At 52.6% G+C, this 11,926-nt stretch overlaps 1 protein-coding gene across 5 annotated transcripts in view, besides 1 other annotated feature; it reads right to left on the reverse strand.

Moving 5' to 3' along the window:
- The window catches only part of BTBD2 (BTB domain containing 2), a 30,267-nt gene that overhangs the window by 15,875 nt on the left and 2,466 nt on the right, over positions 1–11,926 (reverse strand). The gene's annotated exons all lie outside the window — the stretch shown is intronic.
- Positions 10,982–11,173: a silencer, noted in NCBI's record as "fragment chr19:2012303-2012494 (GRCh37/hg19 assembly coordinates)". NCBI's record gives its function as "represses an EF-1alpha promoter that drives an FKBP-Casp9 reporter gene in an ReSE screen in K562 erythroleukemia cells {active_cell/tissue: K562}" and the evidence as "EXISTENCE:reporter gene assay evidence [ECO:0000049][PMID:32094911]".

Consider the following 11,926-nt stretch of genomic DNA (forward strand, 5'->3'; position numbering starts at 1 on the left):
CGTCTCTACTAAAAATACAAAATATTAGCCGGGCGTGGTGGCACCTGTAATCCCAGATACTCAGGAGGCTGAGGCAGGAGAATTGCTTGAACCCTGGAGGCGGAGGTCGCAGTGAGCTGAGATCGTACCACTGCACTGCACCCTGGGCTACAAGCCTGAGACTCCATCTCAAAAAGAAAAGAAAACAGGTTAAAGACCGAAAGAATTGTGTGGTGCACAAAGGGCCAATGATTCCGTGATGTAATCTACGCAATGCAACGTCCATGAAGAGCCTTAAACCACAGGGCTGAACCTCCAAGCTGGTGACTTTATCCACGTGCCACGAGGGTGGCCGTCCCGAGCCCACAGGACACAGGTGCAGGTGCTCCGATACCCTCTGGACATGTGAACCTCTTCATCTGGCTGCAAGATGTCCTTGCTGTTTTTGTGTTTTGAGACGGAGTCTCGCTCTGCCGCCCAGGCTGGAGTGCAGTGGCGCAATCTTGGCTCACTGCAACCTCCGCCTCCCGAGTTCCAGTGAGCCTCCTACTTCAGCCTCCCGAGTAGCTGGGACTACAAGCATAGCACCACCATGCCTGGCTAATTTGTGTATTTTTTTAGTAGAGATGGGGTTTCACCATGTTGGCCAGGGTGGCCTCGAACTCCTGACGTCAGATGATCCGCCCGCCTCCGTCTCCCAAAGTGCTGGGATTACAGGTGTGAGCCCCCACGCCTGGAAGAGATGTCCTTTATTAAATCTTTCATTTATTTTTATTTCATTTTTATTTTTAGTTTTTACAGGTGTGGTCTCACTCTGTCACCCAGGCTGAAGTGCAGTGGCACGATCATAGCTCACTGCAGCCTCAACCTCCTGGACTCAAGCAATGATCCCACCTCAGCCTCCCGGTAGCTGGGAACACACACACAAGCCACAATGCCCAGCTAACTGTTAAATGTTTTGTACAGACGGGGTCTCGCTATGTTGCCCAGGCTGGTCTCAAACCCCTGGGCTCAAGCGATCCTCCCAGTTCAGCTGCCCAAAGCGCTGTGATTACAGGCAAACTGATAACTGTATTTCTCGAAGTTCTGTAAGCTGTTATGGCTAATTATCAAGCTCAAGGACGGAGATGTGGGACTCCTGATTTTAGTCAGAGAGAAGTGTGGGTCACCTGGGGACTCGCCCCTGCAACAGGCATCTGACGTGGGTGGCACGGGGCTCAGCTGACCACCTGTGGGGTCTGTGCTCACTCTGGATGGTGGGTGTGAGGGTTGAGTTAAATTGTAGGATGCCGCCGGGCACAGGGGCTCATGCCTGTAATCCCAGCACTTTAGGAGGCCGAGGCGGGTGGATCATGAGGTCAGGAGATCGAGACCATCCTGGCTAACACGGTGAAACCCCGTCTCTACTAAAGATACCAAAAACAAATTAGCCAGGCGTGGTGGTGGGCGCCTGTAGTCCCAGCTACTCGGGAGGCTGAGGCAAGAGAATGGTGTGAACCCAGGAGGCGGAGCTTGCAGTGAGCTGAGATTGCGCCACGGCACTCCAGCCTGGGCGACAGAGTGAGACTCCGTCTCAAAAAAAAAAAAAAAAAAGAAAAAAAAATTGTAGTATGCCCAGTTTGTATCTACAAGATGAGGAATCACTTGCTGTGGAAAACCCACACACAGTGCCAGAACTCCTATGAGGAGTAAAAACAGATTTTCCTTTATATCCAAACAGAAACCATGAGAGCTGGAGTGGCTACGTCAACATCAAAAGAAAGACGCCACTTTGGGAGGCCAAGGCAGGAGGATCGTTTTAGCCCAAGAGCTGAAGATCAGCCTGAGCAATGTAGCAAGACTCCGCCTTGCCTACTTTTCTACGAAAAGTTTAAAACTTAGCCGCACACAGGCTGGGTGCAGTGGCTCACCCCTGTAATCCCAGCACTTTGGGAGGCCGAGGCAGGCAGATCACAAGGTCGGGAGTTCAAGACCAGCCTGGCCAACATGGTGAAACCCCGTCTCTGCTAAAAAAGTACAAAAATTAGCCAGGCATGGTGGCGTGCACCTGTAATCCCAGCTACTCGGGAGGCTGAAGCAAGAGACTTGCTTGAACCCAGGAGGTGGAGGTCGCAGTGAGCCAAGATTGCATCACTGCACTCGAGCCTGGGCGACAGGGCAAGACTCCGTCTCAAACAAACAAAAAAGGCCAGGTGCGGTGGCTCACGCCTGTAATCCCAGCACTATGGGAGGCCAAGGCAGGTGATCACATGAGGTTGGGAGTTCAAGACCAGCCTAACCAACATGGAGAAATCCCGTCTCTACTAAAAATACAAAATTAGCCGGGTGTGGTGATGCATGCCTGTAATCCCAGCTATTCGGGAGGCTGAGGCAGGAGAAGAATCGCTTGAACCCGGGAGGCGGAGGTTGTGATGAGCCGAGATCACGCCATTGCACTCCAGCCTGGGCAACAAAAACGAAACTCCGTCAAAGAAAAAAAAAAAAAAGAGAAAGAAAAGAAAAGAAAAGAAAAAGGAATCTCTGGACCCCAAAATCACTACTCCAAAGGGAAAAATCAAGCTGGAACCGCTTAGGGCAAACCAGCCTTCTGTTCTATTCCTTAAAAAGACAGCTACCAAGATAAAAAAGCTACATACCTCCCTCCCAATCTGTCCACAAGGAAATTCCTTGCAGACAAAGGACAGAGAGAACTCAGCCATCCCTCCGCTCACCGAGATAAATGCGTATCTGATTGCTGCCTTTGGAAAGGCTCATCAGAAACTCAATGCAATGGTCTGTTTCTTACCTATGACCTGGAAGCCCCTCCCAGCTAAGAGTTTCCCCCCTTTCTGGACTGAACCAATGTTCATTTTACATATATTGATTGATGTCTCATGTCCCCTAACATGTATAAAACCAACCTGTGCCCCACCCACCCTGGGAACATACCGTCAGGACCTCCTGAGGCTGTGTCACAGGCACACATCCTTAATGTTGGCAAAACAAACTTTTTTTTTTTTTTTTTTGAGATGGAGTTTCACTAGTGTTGCCTAGGCTGGAGTGCAATGGCATGATCTCAGCTCACCACAAAATCACAAAATCTGCCTCCCGGGTGCAAGCAATTCTCCTGCTTCAGCCTCCCGAGTAGCTGGGATTACAGGCATGCATCACCACGCCCAGCTAATTCTGCATTTTTAGTAGAGACGGGGTTTCTCCATGTTGTTCAGGCTGGTCTCCAACTCCTGACCTCAGGTGATTCGCCCGCCTCGGCCTCCCGAAGTGCTGGGATTACAGGCGTGAGCCACCGCCCCCGGCCAGGCAAAATAAACTTTCTAAATTGACTGAGACCTGTCTCAGATATTCAGGGTTCACATAACAAACCTTCATATATACCCCCTGAGTCGAAAATAAAATCAGGCCAGGAGCAGTGGCTCATGCCTGTAATCCCAGGACTTCGAGAGGCCAAGGCAGGAGGATCACTTGAGCCCAGGAGTTTGAGACCAGCCTCGGCAACATAGAAAGACCCCATCTCTACAAAAAAAAAATTATTATTTTTTTTTAGATGGAGTCTTGCTCTGTCACCCAGGCTGGAGTGCAGTGGTGCCATCTCGGTTCACTGCAACCCGTCTCCCAAGTTCAAGCGATTCTCCTGCCTCAGCCTCCCGAGTAGCTGGGACTACAGGCGCCCACCACCACGCCCGGCTAATTTTTTTGTATTTTTAGTAGAGACGGGGTTTCACCGTGTTAGTCAGGATGGTCTCAATCTCCTGACCTCGTGATCTGCCTGTCTCGGCCTCCCAAAGTGCTGGGATTACAGGCGTGAGCCACTGCGCCCAGCCAGGAATTCTTTTGACTGCCAAATTCCATGGAATCTGTGAACCGCGGTTTGTTTCTGCACTCACTGGCTGGTCTGCGGGTTTTCCGGTTTTGAGCTACTGTGAATCATGCTGCTCTGGGCATTCACGCACGAGGCTGTGTGAGGACACAGATTCTCCTTCTCCTGGATAAATGCCTCGGAGTGGAATGACCCTGACGTTTAACATTTTCTTTTTTGAGGCAGGGTCTCACTCTGTCACCCAGGCTGGAGTGCAGTGCTATGATCACAGCTCACTGCAGCCTTGACTTCCTGGGCTCAAGTGATCCTCTCACCTCAGCCTCCTGAGTATCCGGGACTAGGGCGTGCACCACCATGCCTGGCTAATTTTTAAAATTATTTTTTAGCCAGGCGCAGTGGCTCATGTCTGTCATCCCAGCACTTTGGGAGGCCGAGGCGGGTGGATCACCTGAGGTCAGGAGTTCGAGACCAGCCTGACCAATAGGATGAAACGCCATCTCTCCTAAAAATACAAAACGTAGTCAGGTGCAGTGGCCGGAGCCTGTAATCCCAGCTACTAAGGAGGCTGAGACAGGAGAATCGCTTGAACCTGGGAGGCAGAGGTTGCAGTGAACCAAGATCACACCATCGCGCTCCAGCCTGGGAACAAGAGCAAAACTCCGTCTCAAAAAAAAAAAAAAAAATTATTTTTTAGCCAAAGCAGTGGCTCACACCTGTAATCCCAGTGCTTTGGGAGGCCAAGTTGGGAGGATCACCTGAACCCACAAGTTCAAGACCAGCCTGAGCAACACAGCAGACCCCATCTCTACTAAACAGAAAAAAATCAGCCGAGCATAGTGGTGCATGTCTATAGTCCCAGCTACTTGGGAGGCTAAGGTGGGAGGACTGTTTGAGCCCAGAAGCTGGAGGCTGCAGTGAGCTATGATCGAGCCACTGAACTCCAGTGTGGGTGACAGAGTGAGACCCTGTCTCTAAAAAAAAAAAAAAAAATTTAATTTTTAAAAAGTCTAAGAGTCCAAGGGGTCAATACTAGACACACATGGCTATTTAAATCTATATCCAAATTCAGCTGAATTCAACATTCAACTCCTCGGTCACACTGTCCACATCTGTAGTCCGTACTGGCACATGAGTGCCTAGTATTGGACAGCACACATCCAAACCATCCCGCTTACTACAGGATACTCTACTGCAGAGCACAAGACCACAGAAAAACTGTTAAACCTAATAAGGCTTCAGGAAGAAACAGTTCAAACCAGATAAAAGTAAACATGCCAGCTACTCGGGAGGCTGAGGCAGGAGAATCACTTGAACCCAGGAAGCGGAGCTTGCAGTGAGCTGACACTGTGCCACTGCACTCCAGCCTGGGCGACAGAGCGAGACTCCGTCTCAAAAAAAAAAAAAAAGAAAAGAAAAATCACCCAACTTTATGTCCTTAGAAAGACCAATCTCCTCAGTAAATTCCTTTATCACTTGACAAACTGATTCTCAAGATCATCAGGCACCGTTAGCCCAGGGCTGGCAAACTATGGCCCTTAGAGTGAATCTGGCCCACCACTTGTTTTTGTAAATTAAGTTTTTTTTTTTTCTGAGACGGAGTTTCACTCTTGTTGACCAGGCTGGCCTGCACTGGCACTACCTCAGCTCACTGCAACCTCCTCCTCCCAGATTCAAGCGATTCTCCTGCCTCAGCCTCCTACGTAGCTGGGATTACAGGTGCTCACCACCATGCCCAGCTAATTTTTTTATTTTTTATTTTTTTGAGACGGTCTCACTCTATCGCCCAGGCTGGAGTGCAGTGACGCGATCTCGGCTCGCTGCAACCTCTGCTGCCCAGGTTCAAGCAATTCTCCTGCCTCAGCCTCCCAAGCAGCTGGGATTACAGGCGCTCGCCACCACGCCCGGCTAATTTTTGTATATTTAGTAGAGATGGGGTTTCACCATCTTGGCCAGGCTGGTCTTGAACTCCTGACCTCATGATCCACCTGCCTCGGCCTCCCAAAGTGCTGGGATTACAGGCGTGAGCCACTGCGCCCAGCCACTTTTTGTATTTTTAGTAGAGACGGAGTATCACCATGTTGGCCAGGCTGGTCTTGAACTCCTGACCTGAGGTGATACTCCTGCCTCGGCCTCCGAAAGTGCCAGGATTACAGGTGTAATCCACTGCACCTGGCCAATAAAGTTTTATTAGAACACAGCTCTTCTTGCTCAGTTACATGTTGTTGATTTATGGCTTTTTGTGCTGCTACGGCAGAATTAAGTAGCTGCAACTGAGACAGTATGGCCTGCCAAAAATATTTACTATCTGACCCTTCACATGAATTTGCTGGCACCTGTGTCTTTTATCTGTTTTGGTTTTGTTTTACACACAGTCAAGGTCTCACTATGTTGCCCACACTGGTACCAAACTCTTGGCTTCAAAAGATCTTCCCGCCTTAGGCCAGGGACGGTAGCTCACACCTGTAATCCCAGTACTTTGGGAGGCCGGGGATAGCCTGAGGTCAGGAGTTTGAGACCAGCCCGGCCAAAATGGCGAAACCCCGTCTCTAAAAATACAAAAATTAGCCGGGTGTGGTGGTGCACACCTGTAATCCCAGCCACTCGGGAGGCTGAGGCAAGAGAACTGCCGGGAACCCAGGAGGCAGAGCTTTGCAGCGAGCCAAGATCATGCCACTGCACTTCAGCCTGGGCAACAGAGCGAGACTCTGTCTCAAAAAATAATAAAACAAAACACAGAATATAAGTTCCATAAGGAAGGAGATGTTTTTCTGTCATATGCACCTCCTGTAGCCAGGACTGTATTTCAGTGAGTATCTGTAGGGTGGACAGATGGGTGGATGTGGGTGACTGATTCTAGAAGAGTAATAAATGTGTCAGACCAGCTGAGAAAGTCTTTTTTTTTTTTTGAGACAGAATTTTACTCTTTTTGCCCAGGCTGGAGTGCAGCAGCACGATCTCAGCTCACTGCAACCTCCACCTCCCAGGTTCAAGCAATTCTCCTGCCTCAACCTCCCGAGTAGCTGGGATTACAGGCACCTGCCACCACGCCTGGCTAATTTTGTATTTTTAGTAGAGACAAGGTTTCACTATGTTTGCCAGGCTGCTCTCAAACTCCTGACCTCAGGTGATCCGCCTGCCTCAGCCTCCCAAAGTGCTGGGATTACAGGGGTGAGCCACTGCGCCCACTCTTTTTTTTTTTTTCTAGGTGGAGTCTCGCTGTGTTGCCCAAGCTGGAGCCCAGTCGTGCGATCTCAGATCACCACAACCTCTGCCACCCAGGTTTAAGCGGTTCTCCTGCCTCAGCCTCTCAAGCAGCAGGTGCAAGCCACCATGCCTGGGTACTTTTTGTATTTTTAATACAGACAGAGTTTCACTATGTTGGCCAAGTTGATCTCGAACTCCTGACCTCAGGTGATCTGCCCGCCTTGGCCTCCCAAAATGCTGGGATTACAGGCGTGAGCCACTGTGCCCAGCTTTTTTTTTTTTTTTTTTTAGGGACAGAGTCTCACTCTATCGCCCAGGATGGAGTGCAGTGGTAGGATCATGGCTCACTGCAGCGGCAACCTCCCAGGCTCAGGTGATCCTCCTACCCGAGCCTCCTGAGTAGCAGGGACCACAGGCACACACCACCATGTCCAAGTAATGAGGTCTCGCTATATTGGCCAGACTGGTCTCGAACTCCTGGGGTCAAGTGATCCTCCCACCTCAGCCTCCCAAAGTGCTGGGATTACAGATGTGAGCCACTGCACTCAGCCTGAAAAGTCTTCACAAAGAATAAAGTTGGGAAGAATTTGGTGAGCAGTTCTCAAAACATACCACAAAGCAGCAATCATCAAACAATGTGTTATGGGAACAAGGACTCACAAAGCAGTCAATGAAATGTGAGACCCCAGAACACACTGTTCTTTTTTTTTTTTTTCCAAGACAGAGTCTCGCTTTGTCACCCAGGCTGAAGTGCAGTGGCACAATCCTGGCTCACTGCAACCTCCGCCTCCCAGGTTCAAACGATTATCCTGCCTCAGCCTCCCCAGTAGCTGGGGTTACAGGCGCTCGCCACCACGCCCGGCTAATTTTTGTGGTTTTTCTTTTTTCTTCTTTTTTGAGGCGGAGTCTCAGTCTGTCACCCAGGTTGGAGTGTGGTGGCGTGATCTTGGCTCACTGCAACCTCCGCCTCCCGGGTTCAAGCAATTCTCCTGCCTCAGCCTCCCAAGTAGCTGGGATTACAGGTGCCCACCGCCACACCAGGCTAATTTTTTGTATTTTTAGTAGAGACGGGGTTTCACCATGTTGTCCAGGCTGGTCTCAAATTCCTGACCTCGTGATCCGCCTGACTCGGCCTCCCAAAGTGCTGGGATTACAGGCGTGAGCCACCACACCCACCCAGATTGTTCTACTTCTAGACCTCGCTACAATGCTGACAGTTCCATGATAGAGTGAATAAAGATACGTTAGGCTGGGCGCGGTGGCTCACACCTGGAATCCCAGCACTTTGGGAGGCCGAGGTGGGTGGATCACCTGAGCTCAGGAGTTCACCATCACCCTGGGCAACATGACGGAAATACTGTCTCTACTAAAAATACAAAAATTAGCTGGGCGTGGTGGCGCACACCTGTAATCCCAGCTACTCAGAAGGCTGAGACAGGAGAATTGCTTGAGCCAGGGAGCTGAAGGCTGCAGCATGCGGAGATCACGCCACTGTACCCCAGCCTGGGCAATAGAGCAAGATTCTGTCTCAAAAAAACAAAAAAGGAGGGGAGGCCAGGTGCGGTGGCTCACGCCTGTAATCCCAGCACTTTGGGAGGCCGAGGTGGGCGGATCACCTGAGGTCGGGAGTTTGAGACTAGCCCGGCTAACATGGTGAAACCCCGTCTCTACTAAAAAATACAATTAGCCAAGTGTGGTGGCGGGTGCCTGTAGTCCCAGCTACTCGGGAGGCTGAGGCAGGAGAATGGCATGAACCTGGGAGGCGGAGCTTGCAGTGAGCGGAGATCGCGCCACTGGACTCCAGCCTGGGCAACAGAGCGAGACTCCGTCTCAAAAAAAAGAAAAAGGTATTTTAGATACTAACTTCATGGGACCAGCCAATGTGCACATCTACAAAAGTGCAACCCTGGAGATCTTCAGTTCTCCCTTCAAGCCCCATGAGAGAATCAGATGTTTAATTCCCACAGATCATTCAATGCACAATCACTGCGTGCCTACTGTGTGCCAGGCTCCAGCGCGCTGAGATGGACGGGTGCCCATCCAGGACCGGGGAACAGCCCAGAAGCCGCGTGCAACCCCTGGCCTCCTCCCCAGCACAAACGCCGACCCCTGCGCGACGGTCCAGACACTGGGGCCACCACCAAGGCCTGCTCCCAGCCTCCTCTCTGCCATGTCTCAGCTCACCCTGCACCCCCGCCAGGGACCAGGCCCAAGCCCAGGCCACTTGCTCTCCTCACAGCTGGCAAGGCCCGGCCCCTCTCTGCTCATCGGTGAACTCCAGACTTTATCCCAGCACCCCCAGTTCGTCCCGACATCCCCCCACCTTTTTTTTTTTTTTGAGACGGAGTCTCGCCCTGTCACCCAGGCTGGAGTGCAGTGGCGCAATCTTGGCTCACTGCAATTTCTGCCTTCCGGATTCAAGCCATCCTCCTGCCTCAGACTCTGAGTAGCTGGGATTACAGGTGCGTGCCACCGCGCCCAGCTTATTTGTGTATTTTTAGTAGAGACGGGGTTTTGCCACGATGGCCAGGCTGGTCTCAAACCCCTGACCTCAGATGTCTGCCCATCTCGGCCTCCCGAAGTGCTGGGATGATAGGCGTGAGCCACTGCGCCCGGCCTCAGCTGCTGTTTTCTTTCTCTCTGCTGTGTGGCCTGTGGCTGTCAGCAACCCATCGGGTCCGTTTGTTCCCACAGCCCCAGGACAGATGTGTCTGAGTGACCTTGTTTCAATCATGGAAACTGAGGCACAGAGCACTTGGGACACACTGCTCTGCGGACCTCTCAGCCCCAGGTCCCGCCAACACATCCAAGCCAGTACTTGTCCCTCCTGAGCCTGTCCTGGCTTGTGATGCTCCAGCCAGAAGTCTGGGGACCCCCACCACAGCCCCCCACGCCCTCACCTGCCAAGCTGCCTCCTCTCCTGGCCACAGGAACTCGCTTCCTCCAAAGAGGACCTGCATCCTCTACCCCTCATTTCTGCCGTCCCCACCGAGCCCGCTGCTGTCTCCTGCCTGGAGTCTGCAGCTGCTACTCCCCAGCCTCGCTCCTGGGCCCATCCACGGCGCGTTCCACCCTCAATGCGGATCTGGTCACACTGGGCCACAGGGCCTCCCTCACTCCTCCTGCTCCGGCCTTGCCATGGCTCCCACCTGCCCAGCCCCTCTGGGCTCTGGGCCTTCCATCCCTGAGCCTGGGGCACTGCACTCTCCATCAACATCACTTGCTCAGGGGGTCGTTCTGGACCAGGTCAGTGCCCCCTCTCCATTTTCAACCCTCCTGAAATGCTAAGGAAACACAGATGACCTTTCAACAAGGCAGGCTTCAACTGCACAGGTCCACTCATATGTGAATTTTTTCAATAAAGGCTGCCCCAACGGTGCCGGCCTCTCCTGCCTCCCCTTCCACCTCTGCCACCCCGGAGACAGACCCACCCTCCTGCTCCTGCTCCTCAGCCCTCAATATGAACACAAGGACACAGGCCTTCATCGTGGCCACCTCCACTGTGTGAACAGCAAACAGGATTTCTCCTTTTATTTTTTTTCCTTTTTTTTTTGAGACAGAGTCTTGCTCTGTCGCCCAGGCTGGAGTGCAGTAGCGCAACCTCGGCTCACTGCAACCTCCGCCTCCCGGGTTCAAGTGATTCTCCTGCCTCAGCCTCCCAAGTAGCTGGGACTACAGTTGTGCACCACCACACCCGGCTAATTTTTTGTATTTTTAGTAGAGACGGTGTTTCACCACGTTGGCCAGGATGGTCTCAAACTCCTGACCTCATGATTCGCCCGCCTCGGCCTCCCAAAGTGCTGGGATTACAGGCGTGAGCCACCGCGCCCAGCCTGTCCTTTATTTTTTTTGAGATGGTGTGTCACTGTGTCGCCTGGGCTGGAGTGCAATGGCGCAATCTCGGTTCCCTGCAACCTCCACCTCCTGGGTTCACGAGATTCTCCTGCCTCAGCCTCCTGAGTAGCTGGGATTACAGGTGTGCGCCACCACGCCCGGCTAATTTTTGTATTTTTGTAGAGACAGGGTTTCACCGTGTTGACCAGGCTGGTCTCGATCTCCCGACCTCGTGATCTGCCCGCCTCGGCCTCCCAAAGTGCTGGGATTCCAGGCGTGCGCCCCCGCACCCGGCCCCTTAGACTTTTCTGAATGTATTTTCTGTTCTCCAGCCTGTTATTGTGAGAACAGGAGGCTGGTGTGCATTGACCAAGTGTCCTCACAAGGCCTCCGGTCAGCGAGAAGCCATTCCTAGTTAAGTTCGTGGGAGTCAAAAGTTGTACTTGGATTTGAGCTGAGTGGGGGTCCACGCCCCTAACCCCGCATGTCGAGGGTCCGCTGTCCCAGGCCCGCCCACCTTACCTTGCTGCTATCTCCCGCTGGGCCTCATTGCCCTCTCCTGAGCCCCCCGGGGGCAGACCCCTCACCTACTTTTCTCCAAGGGGTCCTTGTCCTGCCTCCATCTTCCCCACTTTGCAACCGAGCCAGCGGTCCCTCAAGTGCAATCGCATACATGTCCCAAGGTCAGCCGGTGCCCGGGGCGCCCCACCTCCCCCCTCAAACAGAAAGCCTGGGATTCTCCAGCTGCACCTGCTGCTGGGTGAGTTCCAGCTGCATCCAACCTACCCCCTCCCCAAAGAGCACAAAGACCACCCAGGTGGAGGGAGCAAACCCACCGCCCCTCACTCCAAGCTAGGAGAGGCCCAGCAGCTAAGGACGACAGAGACAGGGACGGCGACACGGACGGCACAAGCCGTAGGAGGCCCCGGAACCCTCCAGGGGCAGGAACCTCTGCTAAGTACCGCCCAGGGCAGGACCCCACGAAAGGAGACCCAGCTGCCCATAAACACCCAGGAAGAAGCCAGAACACGTTAACAAAAGCACCCGAAGGTCAGAAGGGAGGGCAGGACCCTCCCCCTCCAGTGCCCGCAGCAA

Source organism: Homo sapiens, chromosome 19 (genome assembly GCF_000001405.40).
Source record: "Homo sapiens chromosome 19, GRCh38.p14 Primary Assembly".
Classification (NCBI taxonomy): Eukaryota; Metazoa; Chordata; class Mammalia; order Primates; family Hominidae; genus Homo; species Homo sapiens.